General features: G+C 34.3%; 2 annotated features.

The window, feature by feature from the left end:
- Nucleotides 12,256–12,400: an enhancer, noted in NCBI's record as "145 bp 12:17286714 sequence used in MPRA reporter constructs". NCBI's record gives its function as "activates a minimal TATA-containing promoter with rs7139319 allelic activity by MPRAs in C283T melanocytes {active_cell/tissue: C283T}" and the evidence as "EXISTENCE:reporter gene assay evidence [ECO:0000049][PMID:36423637]".
- Nucleotide 12,328: a transcriptional cis regulatory region, noted in NCBI's record as "rs7139319 or 12:17286714 MPRA-significant variant associated with a GWAS melanoma risk locus at 12p12.3". NCBI's record gives its function as "allelic transcriptional activity by MPRAs in C283T melanocytes {active_cell/tissue: C283T}" and the evidence as "EXISTENCE:reporter gene assay evidence [ECO:0000049][PMID:36423637]".

Here is a 23,313-nt window from a genome sequence, read left to right as displayed (position 1 = left end):
TGTACTTAAACAAGATAGAACTAAATTGTGTAGGATAAATTTACCAACTGAGGAGCACCTTTGACAAAATAGTGCCTGAACAAGCTATGTATTGATCTGGAGGTGTCCCAGTGCCATAGCTGAAAGTCAGGCTTACCAATCGACGGAAAATGGGAAATCTGGAAAGCATCTAATTCATTGTGCAACTTTTTCTCAGTTAACCATATATCCAAGGCAAACACTTGCTTCTATTTCCTCAAAATAGACAAGGCAATATGCCTGGTTGGGTTTAGTCTAAACTTAATACTACACTTAATTTAATGAATAAATTAAGCATGAAGAGAAGATGATCTCACAATTCAAAAGCTCTAGACATAACACTATTTTTTACATGTAAGAAGTGGATTTTTTATGTCATTGAGGTCTTTTTTAATATGAAACTTGTCTGCTTTCTTAAAGTAGGATATGAAAGGGGGGCACATTTTTATGGAAGTTTTTTTTTCCTTCCAGAGATCTGAAAGAAATTTTGATTATCCATTTTATTCAGCATATTATTATCAAAGTAGAGTACAAAATTAATGTTTCCTTATAATTTTGCTAGTATTTTATAGCATAATTGTAAAAATTTTATTACTTCTATATATTTTCCTAGCCATAGTGCCATGTTTTGGATCCAGTCAGCTTATCTTATTCAAAACTGATTATAACTATAATAATCATAATAAATTTGGGTCTTTCTAAGGTTTTAAAGATTCTTTACAAGCCATGAAAATATGTCATAAGTGCTAATAAAGTGAATCATAAGTACTTTATTGACTTTTTAAATATGTCAGAATGCATAAAATGCTAAACATATTTAAATGTAAACTTATTTGCAATGATTTTCTTTTTCTGCCAACAATGTAACTTTGGAAAATCAAACATTCTCCCTACTACAACAGTGATAATTCACAAAAAAGCCTGATATCATCTCCAATTCAAAGAACTCAACTGTGTTGTTTCATCACTGACGAAAACTACATATTTGCATATAAAAAAATGCTTCATGGAAAATATAATTTCTCTTGAGATTTCAGTGGGTACCTAATTATAAACAGTTATCTGATTTATTTAATTATGACAATAAAGAATAATCATTAAGATGGTTGTTTTCTAAATAATTGGTGTTTTCATAAGCATAACAAAAGCAAAAAATGGTCACCATAGGCTACATAGCCCATGAATACTACATTGAAGATCATCAAATCCCAAAAGAGACTGACACTAGGTGCAACTTTTTCTCAGTTAACAAGATATACAAGGTGAACATTTGCTCTTATCCCCTCAGAACAGACAGGGGAATATGCTTGGGTGGGTTTAGTCTAAAATTTATACTTCATTTAATGAATAAATTAAGCATGCAGAGAAAATGATCTCACAGTTCAAAGGGTGTAGATATAAGAAGATTCTTTACATGTAAGAAAGTGGGTGACTTTTTTTTTTTTTTTTACGTAATTCAGTGTATTCCACAGCATTGTATGTTCTAAGTCAGTCTCCATGAAAACCTCAAAGAGACAGCCTTTTGGTAATTCATTAAACTGTTAAGGCATGAGAAATCACATAGTAGGGAGTAAGGATTTTCTAAAGATAGACTGTTGGGAGAGAAAGGTGCTTTTTCTGAAGACTTTTCTGGGAAAATGATCTTCTCTACAACAAATGAAAAACCAGAACAGTTCAATAGGTATTTAACATTTTGCAAGATATCCAGTGCTATCAAAATTCATCCCAGATTTTCAAGATTGAGTTCTGGTTATCCCTTTTAAATCATATATGACACCCAGCAACCTCTCTCACTTACCTTCATAGTTCTATCAGACTTACCTTCATTGTTCTATCAGACTTAGTTCTTCGTAAGAGAAGCAAACATCAAATAACGTATCTTCTAAGATGCATTTGAGACCCAGATACTGAAAGTAGAATAGCATGCCATTTTGGTCATTTGACATATTCAAAGAGAACCCAAATAAAGCAAGTAGCTTCACTTGAAGGTGGAGAGTTGACTCTCTGGAACAAAACAAGATATCTTAATTTACTCTGATAATAAACAATTTCTATATTCTGATATGCAGAAAAAATACAAGAAAATACCTTTTGTAAAACTATAGATTGAATGTAGATTCTGCATGTCTTTCAAGTGTAATTTCTCCAGGTCTATCAGTTGTTATCTCCCATAGTCAATCAAACTTCAATTCAATTCTTTATTAGCAGTGTGATCTTAGAGAAATGCCTATTATTAGCCACAGCTCCTCATCTGCAAAATGGGATCATTACTACTATCTATTTCCTAGAATTATCTTCAGCATTAAATAAGATCATACATGCCACAATCCTTTAATGCCACCTTCAATACCACCATCCTCACCACTAAAATGATGATTCACAGATTATATCATGATGGAGAAAAAGTAAGGAAACTCATTTGGTAGTCATACTTCATGATTATAATTGCAGCTTTGTTGTGACTATCTCAAAATTTGATGTCCTGGAAAAAAAATAGCATTACCTTCCTTCCAGACTTGTTTGCCCTTTGTTTATTTTCCTCTTGTTCTTCAGCATCGATATAAACGGACATCAAGTGCCAGAATTTAGTTGCATACCCCATAATTTTGAAAAAGATAAATTACTTGCTGTGGGATAATTTTAACATTCAGCGCCTGTGTAATAAAGTTCTGCACCTTTCATCTTTGTGATCGGAAAGACCCATAGCTAGGCACAGAAACCAATGTTTATAATTCTTATAGAATTGGAGTAACTTGGAAGCAATAATAGAATGTTAACAACAGCAACATGAAAAAGAAAAACATTAAATTTAGAAAGGAGAAAAAGAGAAGGCAACAATTTGAGAAAACTCCAGTAAGGGATTTCAGTTGCCATTAGGATATGTTCCAAAAATAAGGACCCCAGGGAACTTAGATTAATCCATCATTTATCTTACCCACGAGGTGGATCTGTAAATGACTTCATTGATCCACAGCTGTGTTCAGTATCTTACACAACAGTGGATCAGGCAGAAATAAGATTGTGTGGGCAAAAGGGCATTAATAGAAAAGATTGAGCTAGAATTAGTTTCTCAGATTCTTTGCTAGTGTGTCCTGACAGCTTCCACCTGTTTGGTTTTAAACTCAAAGGAAATTTCTTCTTACATGATTATTATCATGGAATGCTGTTCAACGCTGAAGCAAGTCCTTTCACTGTTTCCATTGGCCAAATGAAGGAGATTTCTAAAGACATGCTATCAGATCATTTTCTCATCACTGATCTGTGATGTTTATAGTTTAGCAGCTATTTACAGGGGAGTTAAAGCTGATCTGTAAAATTTAAAAATGTATATTTTAATTAAAATCAAATTCAGCTCGGAGGCAACAATTTAATATTCTTTGTGACTAAATCCCAGGGAGGTCCCAGATTAGCATAGATTCATGTTCCTTGAAATTCAGAACATCTTCCAGATACCATCTTGCTGTTCCTTCAAGATCAGAAAAGGAAATGTATTGGCATTATGCACTGCTCTAGGTGAAAGGAGTGTGTCTTACAGAAGTAGCTCTGGCAGCACAAGGTTGCTACAAATCTCTGACAATACTATCATCTGACCCATGTGGGTTTGTAACTTCAAGAACAATCCTGCTGGTATACATTTGCAAAGGTCACCTGAAAACATTATTAAAGCAGCATATGTCTATGTGTTTCAAAATGAACTCAATTTTGGTTCTGACATGGCAACACTGAGAATCAGCCCATTGAGAGATTTGCTTAATTTCCTATATTACTTATTGAGGCCAAATTTTTTATTGGAAAGCAGCCTGGTATTTGAATAAAGAATCTAGGAATATCGAACAAGATTTTTATTCTGTCACACAGATGAACTGTCTCTCTTTCCCAAAACAAGTTTCTGCTTTACATCTTAATCAGTGCACTTTTCCGTTACTGCCCTTGCTTATGAGAGAATTGGTGCATGACTCAAATATTGACCAGACATGTGGTCCTCTTGCCATCAGATGTAATTTGGCTTGCCCAGTGGTAATTCTATGCATGTGGCCACTTGTGGGGAACTTGCATTGATATTACATCTCTTCCTTTTATTGGTTAGCAGAGATTACTTTGTCTCCTAAACTATTTTCCTGCAAATTCTTAGTTTGGTAAGAGAAATGGCAGGTGAATATGTGTAGAATAAAAAGAGAGCCACATATCTATTATTTGAACATCTTTTTAAAATGCAACATGTGGGCAAAGAAGTCCTTTCAAAAGTTGGTTGGTTGGTTATGTGACCAGTGTTAATGATAATATCTTGGGTGCAATGCATGTCACTCTCTGTCACCCAACATGACTAAAAGCTTTATATGCATATACACTTTGTGTAAGAGGGTTGAGTGAAACTAAAATAGAAAACCAGAGTTACAAGTCTGAGTATGCAAGAATGACAAAAGAGTCAAGTAAAGTGTGATAAAGGAGACTAAAAGATTAACAGAAAGAATAGAGACCTTGAGAACATAAATTATAAAGAATTGGCAAAAATCTTGGAGAATACACAGCGGTTTTAAAAGGTACTGAATTTTAATTTAAATCTCAGAGTATAAGAGAGCACTTGATAATATTTGGTTACATAATTTAAACAATAAATAAATAATTTTTTCTCTATAAACAGCTTCATTTCTGACTGAGTTTAGCATACTTTGGTCTACAAAATGAGGCAGGAAGGTTTTTCCAGTCTTTTATAATTTTATGTTATCCAAAAAGTTGAAATGTATACTAAATATAATGTGGGCATAAGTCAGGACTACGTCTGTGAAATTGACAAAAAGCAAACACACATATACTAGCAGAAATATGAAAACAAATATATTGCCCTCTTTATCTGGCAAATTAAAGGGCTTTCAGATCCAATGATTCAAAGAATGTGACCAAGTTATTTATTCTTTTAAGTGCCATCTTGTCATCTTTTGGAAGGCAAGCTCTTAGGAAATAATGAATTCCTTGTCAATGTAATTTGCATGACAAAATTGAATGATTCACATATTATAGAGATAATTTTAGGCTATGGATAGAGGTCACGTGTATACCCAATGAGATCAATGTCCTTGAAACCTCATGATTCCATGACACTACTAATTCTTTTATCAAGAGTCTAGAAATACAGACTTTAAACTGTTAAAAAACATATGCTTGGTAAGCATCTAAGCTAATGCATGTGGGGCTTAATACCTAGATGATGGGTTGATAGGTGCATCAAACCACCATGGCACACATTTACCTATGTAACAAACCTGCACATTCTGCACATGTATCCTGGAACTTAAAATACAATTGAATTAAAAAAAATCTTCCTTTCATACTGTCACCCCCACTCGACTGGTCTTCTTTTCTCTGGAGACCTTTGAATGCTTTGACAGTATCATCAAAATCACGGCTGTCCCTTCCCCTCACTGCTAAATGTGAAATGCTGTGGTAGTGTGAAATATAAAAGCAACATCTTGGAAATGGTGCCCTCTCCAAATCCTTGGGTCTGGTCTGGCTCTGGCCCACCCTAGGGACCCTAGGGACAGTGGGTCATTTTCTACAGCAGCTCAGGCCCAGCTTTAACATCAACCTCAAGGCCAAAAAAGAAAATGTACCTTTCTTCTGTGGGGCTCAGAAAACAATACCCCAAAATGAAGGCTTCAGAAATAGCCTCAGAAATAAAAGTTTTTCTCTGACCTTCTGCTTTCCTGTCTCTCAGTCCCATTCTCCATCCGAGGCTAGCAAGAGAATCTAGAATCCCTCTTCTCCAATGCAAGTTACAGAAATCAGAATGCTTTTTCCCCAAAGCCAGCCATAAAAACCTAAAACTGTTACTCTAATTTTCCCTTCAACTTTCTGTGTGAAAACTGGCCATAAAGAAGTAATCTGACCCAGCTTGTTTGACTGTAGGTCACAAGATTCCCATTCCAGAGAGGGCCCTGCCCCATACCCAGAAGAAAGGAATGCTGCTCAGAGAGGCCAAGAAGAGTCTAGACAGACAGGCTTTGCTGGGTTCCCCGACTCAGGCTATTAGCATTAGATCAGACCTTTTTTGTGCAATTGTGTTTCCACACAGCTGTCCATACTTTGTTGAACCTAAGCATAAAAATGGAAAATCTCCCCTATATTTTTGAGTTTTCATTCCGTATGCTCTCATGTATACATACATGTTAAATAAATTTGTATGCCTTCCCCCACCACACACAAAAAATCAGATGCTTTAGTGACTGTAGTTAATAATAACATATTGCATATTTCAAAATAGCTAGAAGAGAGGATTTTTAAATGTTCTCACCACAAAGAAATGAAAATATTTGAGGCGATGGATATGCTAATTACCCTGATTTGATCATCATGCAATGTATAGATGTATCAAAACATCACGTTTTACCCCATAAGTATATACAATTATTTGTCAATTAAACAATAAAATAAAACTTTAGAGAAACAAAAAACAGAGACTTACAAAATCAGTTAAAAGAAAAGATAAATAATGTATGCGATTATAATGGGAAATCAAGTTTTAAAAATCAAATTCCAATTTACATGCAGATTCTCAGGAATAATATCAGTATTTTAATTGACAAGTAGTTTTTTTTTTTAATTTTGTGGAGAGAGGGACAAGGTTTTAATACACCCATCCACCCAGACAGCTAGCCAGTCAGGCAGCCATTTGTTACTCATTTATAAATAAATATTGAGCAGCAAATATATACCAAGCCTTTTTCTAAGAGCATGAGATACATTGGTGATCTTATTAGACATGGCCCCTGCCCTCATGCAACTCATATTTCTAGTGGGAAAGGCAGACACAAAGTAGGTTCAAAAATAAATACTTTACATTAGAATGGGGAAAGAGTTATATAGGACGGTCAGGAAAGGTCTCCCCAAAGACCCGACATTCAACTTGAGATGAAATTTGAGGTCTCATCACTGAGCAAAGAAAAGCAAAGGGTATTCCAGTACAGCCAGTATCAACAAAGGTTTTGAAGGTAGCAAAGAGCTGGCCAGATCAAAGATATGAAGAAAATCTTTATCATCGAAGTCAGAGAGAAAAGAATGGCATTAGATAAAATTGTGGCAGGAAGCCAGTGCCAGATTATGTACATTTGGAGTTTGTACTTTATTTTAAATGCAGTAAGAAACCGTGGCCAGGCACAGTGGCTCGCGCCTATAATCCCAGCACTTTGGGAGGCTGAGGCAAGTGGATCTCCGGAGTTCAGGAGTTCGAGTCCAGCCTGGCCAACATGATGAAACGCCCGTCTCTACTAAAAATACAAAAATTAGCTGGACGTGGTGGCAGCCGCCTGTAATCCCAGCTACTCAGGAGGCTGAGGCAGGAGAATCTCTTGAACCCAGGAGGCAGAGGTTGTAGTGAGCTGAGATAGCTAGATAGCACCGTGTACTCCAGCCTGGGTGACAAGAGCAAAATTCCGTCTCAAAAAAAAAAAAAAAAAGAAAGAAAGAAAAAGAAACCATTACACCATTTTACATAGGAAAGAAACATGATATTATTATTTTATAAAAAACTTCAAAAGCAGATGAGTAGAAAATGTATTGAAAGTGAGAAAGAGTAGAAGCAAGGGGAAAATTAATGGATTTGAGATATAATGTAAGGTGAAAATGATAACATATGCTACTAAATTGAAAAACTATGTTTTAGGCAATGCTGAAACCATAAACCAGTTTGAAAACTCTACCTAATAATAAAGACAGCACCCTCCCTCCAGTGGTAGCAGCCCTGATATTATTTACTGTTTGTTAACAATAAGTTCCCACTAAATAATAGAGAAAAAGACTCACAGCAGTTTCTCCAATAAAAAGCAATATTCTGTGTTGATTGAGTCAACACAGGTTTTGCTAACTCCCTAAAATTTTCATAATCCTTGTAGGTAATGACTACCAAATTGTATGGTGAAACAGTTAACAATAACACTTAAAAAAAAGAGAGAATAACCTGTATCTGAATAGTACTTTGCCATCACGTTTCTCCTTCATTTTCTTGAGATATTACACATCTGTGCAATAGGTATTATTATTCATGTTTTACAGATAAAAGTAACTGAAGATCCCAAAGGTTAAGTGACTTGTCTAAGGTTGCAAAACTGAAAAAGCAACAGTCCTGATCAAACCTAGGTCTTCTGACTTTTAACCATTAACTCATTCTCACATGTAACACTGCCTTCTCCATGCAAATTGGATCTGTCCTGCTTTGTCTCATGCTTAAATATGAATTTGTATGAAGTGACTATATTAAAAATTTGCTTGTAATACCAAGCTAGCAGGAATAGTCATAGAAAGAAGAAGGAAATTTAGCCTCTTTAGTTAAGCCTTGGCCTTTCTGTTTAGACTGCAAATTAGCACTGATTGTGTTAGAGGTTTCCATGGTGTAGGCACTAGTCTCTCATGAACTGAACTTACATCGTCAACATTTAAAGCTGAAAGCCATTAGACAACAGCAACTGAGGTCACTTGTTACTGTTAAGAATTTATGCAGCACTTTACATTTGGAAAGAGGTCAATGAAATCTAGACAGATTTGAGTGCTGCCTAAATGGACAAATCTGTGCTGGCATCCCAACAGCACAGTCGCTTCATAGTACAGTTTTTATCCCTTTTGATTTATGACAGAATGTGGTATTTATAACACAGTGCACAGTTTAATATGTACGGACATTCACTCATACTAAACCAAAAAATACCATATTTGTTTTAAGTTAACAGCTTTATCATTAACTATTCCTGGGCATCAGTAAACTTGTAAAAGATCCAATTTATTCCTTGGTCCCCAGGTATTCAAGAAAAAAAAAAAATCTTAGATGTATCAGGCTTAGTTTGTATTGAAACAATTTAGCATAGTTTGATAGTTGTATTCTTTGAAGTCAAGGCACACACAGCTTTCAATTCTTTTGTCTGACCTTCTGGTAATTCTGTGACTTTTAGGTAGGTCATTTAACTTTTCTGTACCTTTAATAGCATTTCTTAGGGGTTGAGGAAAACATGTGGGTATCATTTATTATCTTTGGCCACCTAGCCACTAATGTAACTCCCACTAATCCTAAGCTGCTGTTCCCGATATTATACTTACTTTTTTAATCCTCCCTTCTGGTTATGAGGCAGACACTCGAACTATAATTTGTCAATCACCAAAGTTACCCTAGATATTGATTTAGGATCTAGTGATGCAAGAATTAGGGGACCCCCACAGAAGTGGCAGCAGCTATATCTCTTTTTCCAGGGGCAGAGGTAGGCGGTGTCGGCAACAATGTCCACTGTTTGGTACCCATCTTTCCATTCGGCACACCAGATGCCATGTGGGTGTCTAGTGTACAGGAAGGGAAGTGGGACTGTCACTAAACCGATTCTCCCCCATGCTTTTGAGTTTTCCTTCTGGTTCTTCTTGGCCCCTTACAGATCTACTCTGGGTTTTCCAATTCTTTTTCAAATAACCATTTGCTTCTGGCTAAATCATCCCAATCATCCCTTGTTGCTTGCACCAATGAACCTTCGACTTACAATAAAAGTAGTGAATTGGGTATCTGACAGTTTTATGTATTGGCTTTGAAGTTTTTGAAGAATTTTCTTTTATATTACTTCTCTTAATCATTGCAGTAATACAATGAAAAGATTAACAATTTACTGAAGAGACTGGTGGTCAGAGAGGTCTCATGAGGTTCCCAGTATTACGTTTGGGAACTACCAGGATTAATTCTTTTATTTTCCTGAAAGTATATTTGGTATTTATTATTAAATCATAACTGTTCAGACATAACATTTATGTGGGTTCTTGGGTATCCATTTTAATAAAGATCAACAATGCATATTTAAGTCATAAGATGTTGCATACAAGACAATGTCATTTATGTAGAGCAACCAGCCACCCTCAAATAGCACACTTACTATGGCTATTATAACATCAAACTTTGCATAAAGTAGACATTTTGACAACATTCCATCAGTTTCCAATCTCCTATCATGCATTATAAAACAAAAATGTATGATTTTCTAATTTTCAAGAAGCAGAGGAATATTATAATGTAAAAATTTCATATTTATTATAAAATATCCCAAATTAAAATTTTACTGATTCCTATAGAATATAAATTTGTGATTTTAAATAAAAATCCAGAAGTACTCAAATATATGATTTCCTAGAAGTCTCAATATCTCATTCAAGATGCACTACACTACAAATATGTTACTTATTTCTTTGAGAACTTAAAATATTAATTTTAATGGTCAACAAATGCCTCATGGAAAAATCATATTGTATGCTAAGATTTCAAATTGGTACAACAACTTTGGTTAATGGCACAAACTCAAGTTGAACATGTGCAAACTCTATAACTCAGAAATCCCCCTTCTATGCATGTACTTAGAGGAACAATTGCATCTTTCTAACCATGAGGAGCATACAAGAATATTAATTATGGCACTGCTTATAATGACAAAATATTAGAAATAAACCAATGTCAATCAACACGAGAATGGATAAGTTGTGGTATATTTTTACAATGCATTATAAAACATTAGAAAAAATAAATGATAGCTGCACACAAAATGGATGGATCTCAAATACATAGTATTAAGTAGAAAAAAAGCAGCAAGTCAGAAAATAAAATCATGCTTTATGATTTCATTCACCATAGTTCAAAAAGAGACAAATCTAAATGATATTTTTGGGTTGCATATAAATGTAGCAAATGTAGAGAAAAGTAAGCTTTTAAAAACTACAAAATTCATGGTAGCTTTTACTCCTGAAAAAGGCAAGAATGTGGTGAACCTTTAAAATGTATTGGTGGTATGATTAAATGAGTGATTATTTTATTTGTATTTTAGTAACTTAAACTACAAGTACGACCGAATTCTTCAAATAACAGATTTTAAGAATGAGTATATATGTGATTTACCTATTAATCATCCTAAGTATTCAATTGTTGAAAGGGTTCACAGATCTCAAATAGTTTATGCTCATGAAATAGCTTTATCATAGGCTCAGGTACGATATAGCAAGAGCAGGAAAAGTCTGCATTCCATGGGTCCTCACTTTTAATGCAGTCAACATGACTACAGTGTAGTCTTCTTTTTCCTACCTCCACTGGTCAAGTTGCACAGAACATATTGATTGTGTCAAGCTCTCAAACTGCTACCTTGTAGCTACGTCACTACCAGAAAGTTCAATGTCTTCTTCTTCCAGGGGGTTCTCTTAGAGTGAGCTGGTCTGTTCACACAGGTGTAGGCACATTCTAACTTTCTAACTGTGTGACATTTCTTAACCATTAAAACAACATCTACCTGCTTATGGTGGCTCAAGCACATACCTACACACCCCTCTACTCTGCAACCCACTTCCCAGGAGAGGCTCTACCACACAAGTTGCAATCCATAAATTCAATTAAAATTACTAAGTAATGCTGATGGACTAATGCAAATTGAGGAACTAAGAAACCTGTGGTCATAGAGCACCATTTTCATAATTAATAGGTTTCCTAGTACTGGCCAAGGGTCAGTACTTCTGGGTATAAGTATGGGGTCAATCCAGAGCAGGTGAGAGTAACACATGCTATGCAGTATATATTATGACACATGTGCACCACTGATAGGGTAGTATTGACTACATGCCAAAAATATGAGTAATTATTAACTAGCCTATGTGTTTCTATATCCATCTAATCTTGATTGCTAAGCCACTTAACCCCTACCTCTAGGCTTAGTCCAGCTGCTGATTTTTGGAAAGCCTCTGTTCCTAAGTAGAAGCAGTGTAGGGAGTATCTTCTTCAGCCAGCCTCAAATGTGCCTTCTCAGTGGTTTCTTTTTTAACAGCTTTGTTTTTAACAATGACTATAATAAGGAATACCACTTAGTAAGAACCTTTTACATTAAGCACTGGACTTAATAAGAAAAAAATTATTATCTCATTCAATGTTACAACAAGAAAATTGGAAGAAATTGAGATTCTGGACATTTACACAACTTTCCCAAGGCTAGAAAAAAAAGCATGTCAGTTAAACATGCTTTCAGTTGCAAGTATCAAAAACTTGATCATAATGTGCTAAACAAATCGGGGCTTATTTTTCTCTCATAGCAAGAAATAAATAGCCCTGGCCTAGGCTGTACAACAACATCAGCACTAGGTTCTCTATGATACGTTCAGCCTTCTTAAGTTGCAAGAGAGCTGCTACAGTGACATGAATTGTATTTGCATTTGAGGCAGGAAGGGGAAAGGGGCAACATCAGTCAAAAAAACAAAAAAAGGTCCCTATTATTAGGAAAATGAAGTAAAATTTTCTACTGACGCTCCCAACAAATTCTCCTTAGTTCTTATGTAGAAGTGTCACACGGACACTCTCAACTGCTGGAGAGAGGCAAAGAAGAAAGTATTTAGACTTGGATGTTGTGTAGGCCAACAAGAGTGTGTGTTAGCCAGTTAAGGGTAGTGCCTGAATTCAAAAATTAATATTAAGCAGCCACTCCTCTCATTCTCTTTGAATTAAATTGGTGTTCTCTTTCCACAATCAGGTTTTATTTTTGGTTTGTTGTTTTTATCTTGCATTTGAGTCCTTACCTTGATTCCCTATGAAGAACACTAATTTCTCTGAGAATGCTCTCCTACCATCTCTTACTCCACTGACCATCTGTTCTTTGCTCCTCAAAGCAGAGTGTGCACTTTTCTGGGCACCTATAATATCTTCTTATTTTGATCTGCTGGCTTGATCCATCCTTCCACTTGATACAATTATGGTCATTTGTTTTTCTCATTAGTCCATTTATTGCACCCAGAATATAACCTAGCATTTTCTCTTAAGATTGTGCCTGGGATGGCTTCTTTTCAATGACTGTCAATTATTCCAGCCACAACACATTGTCATATTGGAATTGTCTCAGAACACCACACCTATAGACAGATCTCTATCTTCTATGAAGAAAAGTAGAAGGTATTGTCTACCATCTGTTTGAAAAATAATCTCTTGCCCTATAAAATCTGTTGATATATTTGTTGTTTATCAGGTATTTTTTTATTTTAAATTTTAGAAAACTACAGTTTAATAGAAAGAGCATTGAATTTATAAATTGCTTTGGGCAGTTTGGCCATTTTAATGATGTTGATTCTTCCTATCCACAAGCATGGAATGTTTTTCCATTTGTTTGTGTCATCTCTGATTTATTTCAGCAGTGTTTATTAGTTCTGCTTGTAGAGATCTTTCACCTCCCTAGTTAGTTGTATTCATAGGTATTTTATTCTCTTTATGGCAATTTTGAATGAAAGTTCATTCCTGATTTGGCTCTTGGCTTGACTGTTGTTGGTGTAGAGGAATGCTAGTGATATTTTCCACACTGATTTTGTATCCTGAGACTTTGCTGAAGTTGTTTATTAGCTTAAGAAGTTTTTGGGCTGAGACGATGGGGTTTTCTAGATATAGGATCATGTCATCTGCAGACAGGGATAGGTTGACTTGTCCTCTTCCTATTTTAATGTCCTTCATTTCTTAATCTTGCCTGATTGCACCAGTCAGGACTTCCAGTGCACAGGAGATATAGGCAATGCCAAAGCTGTGCATCAGGCAAGACTCGCATTCCTCCCTCCTCCGTCATGGCCCACAGCCTCATCACCATGAGATGCCTTGGAATCTGTCTAAATTAACTCTATTATACCTTTTATTTCTGTTTACTTCAGTCCCCAAAGGAAGGCGAAGACCTCTTGTTATCTCTCATCATCTAGAATCCCATCCTTATAAGGTTTCATGCATCCCTAGTGTCATCTTTTCTTTTGTGCTTCACCAATTCCTAAAACTCTTCCACTATTCCGCCTAAAACAGGGTTACCAATCGCTTTATTCTTATCTTTTCTGAACATTCTCTTCACCTTCCAGTTTTAATGGAAACTTGACCATTTTCTAAGCACACTGGTTTCCTGGAAATTCTCTCACATGCTACTTCTCTGTCCATACCTTTCAAGTTACCAAGCTTGGAAGTACAGCAAGTATTTATCATTGTTACTTCCAGACCATTTCTCATCTCTGCTCTATTTACAAATAGAAATGGGAGAAAACAATTTTAAAACCATGTCAGTAGCTTTGTCAAACTCTACTCTTCTTCTGTGCAATTATCTATAAAATATATCCTTTTTTTATTCGTCGTTTGTTTTATCTCCATATTCTCTCTCATATTTCTCCTGTCAGTATTCTTGGTAACTTTAATAATTTCATAAACAATCCTTCAAATGCGGCCTTTTAGTTTTTTAACATTCTCTGCTTTGATCATCTGATCTGATCTACCTCTACTTTAAACATACACTCCCATAATTAGACGCTAACCGCTTCTATTACCAGCAACTAAAACCCCTTCACATAACATCAATGGTAGTAACTTCTCTCTGACAATTTCTGATTTATCCAGCGCATCCTCTCTAGAACCTTAATTCAACAACTTTCTTTATATCTAAAAACTATGAACGTTTTATCTAATAATTTTTCTACTCTAGCCTTCCTCCTTTATGTCTCATTAGTTGTGCTCTGTAGTTTATGGTCTATTATTAAAACTACTGCTAAAACATATCCACATAGCGCCACATTTCTTGCACTTTCTCCATTGGTCATACCTCCCGGATAAAGCCCAACCCTGGATTACTACAACTCTTTTTCTGTTCTTTGCACCTAAGCAAATAAATGTGATTTAGAAGCACATAACCCAAAAGGCACAAACATATTAATTGGTCTCAGGCCATTAAATATAGGTGTTACTTGACATTTCTGTTACATTTTGTTGTCCCTATTATCATTATTCAATCTCTCTCATTAAAAACTATTTTATACTTTCTCCAATAACTGTCCCAACAAATCCACTCTTGGAAAATAAGCTTAATTCCTATTTCACTACTAGTATAAGCACAATCAGAAGAGATATCATCTATAATTTCATCTATACCCCTATCAACCTACCTGCATCTATACTCCAGCTTATTTCCTGTAACCACATGTGAACCATCACACTACTATTTAATATCAACTTTTACATATGTGTGTATTTTTTAACTCATTCCTCCTATTTGCTAAAAATTATTTCTTCAAAAATTTTGCCCTCTTTAATATTAATTATTTCCTTTCTACTAGATCATTTCAACAGCATATAAACATGTGATAGCATCTTCCATAATGAAAAGGTAATTTAATCCCAATCACATTGTCTCATCTATTCTCCTTTTTAAAATCCCTCTTAAAAATTAAACTCCCAGAAATGCACACCTGTATTATTTAAGTTCCTCTTTTTGCTCTTCAGCCAACACCAATCATTCCTTCTTCCATCCCTTCTTAGAAAACTGCTGTTTCAATGTCATAAATCATGAATTATTCAGGCAGTGGTTTATTAGGAGCCCTCACCTTGCTTCACCTAAAGGATTTAATACAATTGTTCATCATCTACCTCATGAAACAATTTGTTCACTTGGCTTCTGGAATATACTCGTTCACGGTTCTACTCCTACTTACAGGCTGTTCTTCATCTGCCCCATCTGCTGCATCCTCATCTTCTTGGAGTCCCTTAGGGATGTGTCCTTGAACCTCTTCTCTTTTATTTTTCATGCTCTTTCTGTTGCAATCTCATCAGGTCTCATGGCTTTGATACTGTCTGTATACTGATGACTCTCAAAAGTATATCTCCATCCCAGACCAAGAGCATGAGCTCCAGATTTGCTTACCCAACTATTCCCTCACTTGGATTTTAGACAGCTTAACATATCCCAATCTGAATTTTTAATTTACTTCTTCAAATGTGAATTTCTAATTTACTTCTTCAAATGCGATCCTCCCTTGTGTTCTGCAGCTCAGTGAGTGGCAATCTTTACCTTCAGGTGCTTAGGTTAAATTTTTTAAGTCATTTTGACACCTCTTTCTCTTCATTCCACATCAAACTTGTCAGCAAATTCCTTTGACTTGGATTTCAAAATGTATAAAATATCCAATCTTATCTCATAACTTTTGTTATGATCACCATAACTGGTGTTACCAGGATTATTGCAATAGTGTTCTAATTCAGAGGTCTACAAATTATTGCCTGAGGGCTAACTTACTTGTTCATATCTTTTGTGCATTTTGACGTGGATTTTTTATCTTTTACTTATTGATATGTAGGCAATAGTCATATATCCTAAATAGTACTCATTTGTCTGCTGCATATTTTGCATCTGTCATCTTCTAATCTTTAGCTTACTTTTTACTATGATTTATAGTATTATTAGTGTACAATTTTTCACACATTTTACCAGCTAACTAAATTTTAAATTCCCTGAGGACATTGTCCCTTGCCTGCTACTTTAGTATCCTACTATGGCTAACTCATCATGAGTGTTTAATCAACATTTGTCAGTTGATTGATCCAAAATACTGCATTTCACTTGAGTGAAATTTTCAGTACACAGCACACAGGTAACAAAGTTATAATATTCAGCAGTCTGCACTAGCACTGACCTGTACCCTATCAGCAGCCAGAAATGAGCTTTGGAGGATAAGCTGGTTTCTCATGTTCCACTGTGTCAGAACTCAGGTACACAGGGCAATAAGTAGGAGGCAGCGTATAAATGCACAGAGGATTCCAGACAGAATCTTAAAGTAGTAAATGCACTTTCAAAAATGAAAAGGTTCATTTCAAGGTCCTGCTTCTTTACACTGTTAGAAATATTATTCAGGAAAAGTCTTTTAAAGAAGCTCTGTTCACATAGTGTGCAATTTTATACACACAGGACAGTCAAGCTACCAGGGACTAGTTTTGTATTCTATAATTCATTTGCCACCTTCAACTGTTAGCTTGCATGTATGTTTACATAAGACTCTATTTTACATTTACTACCAGATCAAATAATATATATGCAGCACCAAGAGAAAGTATTCCTACTGCCCCTGCAATAATATCATTCACTAAAACTTTAAAATATAAGAGAGATGCCTTTCTAGCCATATACTTACTCTGTCTCTTTTTTTCCTCTCACTGTCTCTCTCTTCGCTCAAAAGAAATAACTATCTTGGAATTTTACTGAGTTTATAAGCCTGCAAATAAGTTATACTGATATAACGAAAGTCAGGAGGGACAACATCTGAGCAAGATAAATCTGAGGTAAGAGAAAAGGAAAACGTATACAATGCTACAAAAACTATGAACTAATTAACATTAGACTCTCACTTGTTTTGTACGTATAGGCTTTGCCTGGTTATTGCATCTGTGTGTCTGACTAGAGAATGTTTTTAATGATTTCTGAACATCTTAAGTCCACTGGAAAACTACTATCTTACATAGAAAGAGTGAGCATAACATAAGTGACTAGTCTGACGGTAGCAGACCTAAAAGTAATAGACAGACATTAGGAAGGGAAGTACTTGAAGAGAGAGATTGAAAGAGAAACAGAGGTATATAGAGAGAAGGGTTAAAGAGGCAGCCAGTTCTGAAATGAAAGCTAAGAGGACATAATATTCTGATATAAATGATTTATGTACTCAACACATTATTGCCATTTATTTTCTGCACTGTGAAATATCAGCTAATGTTCTTAAACTTATATGGTTAGAAGGATCGGCTAGAAAACTTTTAAAACATTATTCCCCAGATCTATTCCTCTGTCTCTGAACCTCCACCCCACTTTATGGTTCAGGATGGCAGCTGGTCATTTTTTATGCATATATTTATTTACTTTTAAAGTATCTTGGCTATTTATTTATATACAGATGCATTATATATGCATGTATTAAGTTCAGGAGGTGATCCTGATTTCCAAAGAGGTTTGGGAAACTCAGACTAATTTTGTGATTCACTGAAAGCTGGGTAGGAAGATATCTCTGCTTTTTTCTCTGCCTCCTTAGCTTTTCCTTCAAAATTAGAAGAAATACTAGTCACATTGAATGAGGTTTCAGGCCTGCCATTAAAACATAAGATTCACAGGATAAACTCTCTCTTCTGCTAGATTGATAAAAGGACTAGGATCTGAAGTTCTAACAAGTAGATGTGGCCAACATACTTATTTTTCTGTTCCATTTAATCAAGATTTCTTTGATCCCTTTGATGATTTTTTTCTTGAAACCAATTTGAGGTAAGGTTTGGACTTATATGGAGAAACGTTCCTAAGAATTTCTCTCAAAGTAGTTAATTTATAGCTTTTTTCAAGTGTTAATTGTGACTCTGTAAAATAGAGATAATAACACTTATCTTCCTTTTGGTTTTGAAAGAGTATAAATAAATAATGTATATGTATGGCTAGAATTTAAATGTATTAATATGCTAATATATTCAGATATGCTAATATGTTCATATATGCTAATATTTATATAACAAATATGTAAAATGGCATATAATATTATTTATATAGTTTACCAAAGATAGAATTGTGTTTCAACTACCAAACTAGATTTATAATATGCTCATGATCATTTTTAACATGCTCATGATCATATAACATGATCATTTTTCTAAAACAAATCACACTGCATGGTATATGGTCTCTGGTTGCTGACCCAGCCCAATATTTCCAGACATCTAATCTATTAATCTTTCATACTATTTTTAAAATTCATTAAATTCTTTATTCCATCTGCATATACAAAGAAAAGGGAAATCAGACCAATTCATGCTGTTGAAAAGTATTCTGAGATATGCAGCCTCGGTTATCAAAATAACATAGTCTTATAGTCAGAGACTTCAGATTACTGAACCATGCCAAAGTAAAAAGGAAAAAAAATTAAATATATATTTCAAAAACAATTTTATAAGAGTTACAAGAGACTTCAACTATCTCACCTGCATTTGCTGTTAGTCTTTGAATAATTATTTAAACTTGTTAGGTGAAATTTTCTTCATATTTAAAACATCACAATGATTATCTCTACCATATTTGAGTGTTGTAAGAATTAAATGTCATCATTTACATAGAAAACACTGTATCATTTCTGGCATATTTTAAGGGCTATACACAAGTTATCTATTTTTATTTACCATTATACTTATTTAACATCATAATGACAGAATTCATACTCCAGGAAGTCCTCTGTGTATTCTAACCTACTCCCTAAATTATTATTTTACAATTTCATTTGTATATTGTTATATATATATTGAATGCCGTGTGTATCCCCAAAATTCATATGCTGAAATCCTAATCTTTAGTATGATAGTATCAGGAGGTGAGGTCTTTGGCGGTGATAAGATCTTGATGATGGAGCCCCCATGAATGGACCCTGGAGAGTTCCCTCACTCCTTCTGTCACTTGAGGGTACAGGAAGTAGTTAACCATCTTTGACCAGAAAATAGGACTTCACCAGAACCCAATAGTGCTGACATCCTGGAATAGGGCTTCCAGCCTACAGAACTGTAAGAAACAAATTTCTGTTATTTATAAGCTACCCTGTCTGTGTTAGTTTGTTGTAGCAGCCCCAACAAACCAAGACATACAAATAAAAACTTGTTTCAAAATATACATTTTAATTATTACAAAAATTACAGAAGGTTGAGAGTTTTTATCCTCAATCCATCATTTTAGTATAAAACACAGCATAGTAATAGAAATATTTATATTTGTTATAAATAAGTTAAATGAGCCAATAAACTGATTCTACCTACTAAAATATATTTATAAAATGTATTAATTAATTATTTATTGATTTCTCCAAAAAAAGATACTATCACTGGCTATAGGAGCAATTTTAACATGACATTAAAGGAAATTTTCACACCAAACTGAAATTCAAACACTGGCTCTGGAAATTTTAATCGATGATGAAGTAGCACAAACATATAAAATATCTAGATATTTTTCAAAATATTATTTATTTATTTATCTGTCCATCTATATAACCTGTCTCTTTGACAAGAGCCATTTTGAAAATTGCATTTTACAAAACATGAGATGCAAAATGACACTACTAACAAATCATTAGACTTTCCACTACTTTCACTGTAAAAATATATCCAGAATTTTGCCTAACATCAAACTTAAGAAAATGATCTTGCTTTTGAGAAGGTGTTAAATAAGTCATGATAGGCCAAAGCTTAGAGTTCAACAACTAGGAAAACTTGGATTAAAAATATTAATCATATTTTTAAGATACCCATGTGCTGTCAAAGCAACAAAAAATAGATTAACAGGAATTTTACAGAAGAAAAGGACTTTCTGAAGTAAGTTGACAATCTGAGGCAGTTTATTTGCTTATTTGCAAATTCTTGTCATGAACTAAAAATCAAACTTGCTCAGGTAGAAAAAATCTGTGGGATGAAAGAGTAATCAACAGAACTTTACCCATCATGAGTTGTTGATGAGACACATTGGAAACTTATGAGGATTCAAACAAATGACTTGTTCTTCTGTTAGATATTTTCTAAACGCTGTTCTCCACCAGAGGCTAGGGTGTCAAAGTAATAGCTTCTAAGTGGCAAAGTAAAATTTCCTATAGTTTTATAAATTATAGCAATAAAAAAATTGTTGAAAATTCATTACTTTTTTCAAACATTAATGTATTTTTAAGTTCATATAGTTGAGAAAATGGGCTGAAACTTCTGAATATCCAAGTTGAGATATCCTAATGTTTCGGGGCTGAGAAAATGGAGAGCTAACATACGTTCAAACTGACAATGTGAAGAATCATGTACTAGACAGGGACTAAAAAAAGAAGTGTGAATCTTAATACACCTAAGCTCCTACCATTTGTTTGGATTCGAATGATTAATCTCTTACTAGTTTTCAAAAAGAATAGAAATAAAAATATTTTTGGTGAAAACTAACATTATCTCAACACTGTCCATCACACAGCCAACAATTACTAGATAGTCGACATGGCAAGAAAATATGGCTTATAATTAATGTAAAAAAACAGAAAATAGATGGATATCCACAGTTTTTTAATATTTTTGACTTAACAGAAAATAATTATCATTAATATGTCACAGAAAACAGAAAAGAATAGATGGATCAAATATTTGAAAAGATTAATGTCACCAAAGAACTGGAATGTGTAAAACAGAATCAAATGAACATTCTAGAATTTAAAAATGCAAACTGATGTCAAAGAATTCAAAGTTTGGTTAAATTATACTTTGGATAATATAGAACAGTGTTATTAAACTCAAACATACATTTAATATAATTACTGATTAGCTAAAATTTACTATTGACATTTTGCCCACTGTTTTTTGAATGTTTTATAGTTCCTTCATTTTTTTTCCTCTCTTTTTGTTTTTCTTTGTGATTTGTTGATTTTTTTTTTGCAGTGGCATATTTTGATTCCTTTGTCTTTATCCTTTGGGTTTCTACTAATGTTTATTTTTCTTTCTGGTTACCATAGGGCTTACATTAAATATCTTATTGTTATAGATTTCATTTTAAGGTGATAACAACATCAATTGCATACAAAACTCTACATTTTTACTTTTCCCTGCCACCACATTCTATGCTATTGATGTCACAATAGCCAAAACATTCCTAAGCTAAAACAACAAAGCCAGAGGCATCACACTACCCAATTTCAAACTAAACACCAAAGTTACAGTAACCCTAACAGCATAGTACTGGTAAAAAATAAATAAATAAATAAATAAATAAATAAATATATATATATATATATATACACACACACACACATAAATATATATATATACACACACATAAATATATATATACACATATATACATAAATATATATACATACACATATATATACACACACACACACACACACACATATATATATATATATATAGAGAGAGAGAGAGAGAGAGAGAGAGAGAGAGAGAGAGAGAGACCAATGGAACAAGATACAAAACTCAGAAATACAGCCTGATTCTCATCTGATCCTCAACAAGGTCAACAAAAACAAGCAATGTGGAAAAAGACTCCTTATTTGATAAATGATGCCGGGATAACTGGCTAGCCAATATGCAGACGAGTGAAGCTGGACCCCTACCTTTCACCACATACAGAAATTAACTCAAAATGGATCAAATATTTAAATGTATGACTTCAAACTATAAAAATCATAGAAGACAAACTAGGAAATACTTTTCTTATCACTGACCTTTGTAAAGACTTTTTGGCTAAGTTCCCAAAAGCAATTGCAACAACAGAAATTGACAAGTGGAGCCTAAGATTAAACTAAAGAGCTTCCACACAGCCAAAGAAACTATTGAAGCAGTAAATAGAAACCTATGGAATGGGATAAGAGATTCACAAACTATGCATCTAAGGCCTAATATCCAGAATTCATAGATAACTTAAATAAATCTACATACAAAAACAACTCCATTAAAAAAATGGGCAAGGGGCATGAGCAGCCACTTCTCAAAAGAAAAGATATACGCAGCCAAAACACATATGAAAAAATGTTTATCATTTGTAATTATTAGAGAAATGCAAATCAAAATCACAATGAGATACCATCTCACACCAGTCAGAATGACTATTATCAAAAAGTCAAAAAACAACAGATGATATTAAGGCTCAGGAGAAAAGGGAATGCTTAGACATTGTTGATGGGAAGGTAACTTAGTTCAGCCACTGTGAAAACCAGTTCGGAGATTTCTCAAAGAACTTAAAGCAGAGCTACAATTTGACCTAGCAGTACCATTACTGGTATCTATTCAAAGGAAAATAAATCATTCTACCAAAAAGACGCATGCACCCGTGTGTTCATCACTGCACTGTTCACAATAGCAAAGACATGGAATCAACCAAGGAGCCCATCAATGTTAGATTGGATTTTAAATGTGGTACATAGACACCATGAAATATTATGCAGCAATAAAAAAATAAAATCATGTCCTTTGCAGCAACATAGGTACAGTTGGAGACCATAATCCTAAGCAAATGAATGCGGGAACAGAAAAACAAATGCCATGTGTTCTCACTTATAAGTGGAAACTAAACATGAGCTCACATGGATATAAACATGGCAACAATAGACACTGCATGCTACTAAAGTGGAGAGGGAGGCAGGGGTATGGGTGGAAAAACTACCTATCAGATACTATGCTCACTACCTGAGTGATGGGATATGTACCCAAAACCTCAGTGTCACACAATATTCTCACTTAAAAAACCTGTACATATACCCTCTGTATCTAAAACTAAAGTTGAAATTTAAAAAACAGTAACAAAAATAAATTATTGTCAACTGATAAGGTACAATTTACATCTGCCATATTACCAGGTAATTGATTTCTATATGCCAAATATCCTTCTTTTTCTTCTGTTCCTCCATTATTGTCTTCTTTTGTGTACATGTTATCTAATGTGGCATTTTAATTCTCTTATTAAAACAATAGTTTCCATTACTATA

The sequence above is a fragment of the Homo sapiens genome, chromosome 12 (assembly GCF_000001405.40).
Source record: "Homo sapiens chromosome 12, GRCh38.p14 Primary Assembly".
Lineage (NCBI taxonomy): Eukaryota > Metazoa > Chordata > Mammalia > Primates > Hominidae > Homo > Homo sapiens.
This window is presented reverse-complemented; position numbering and strand designations above follow the sequence as displayed.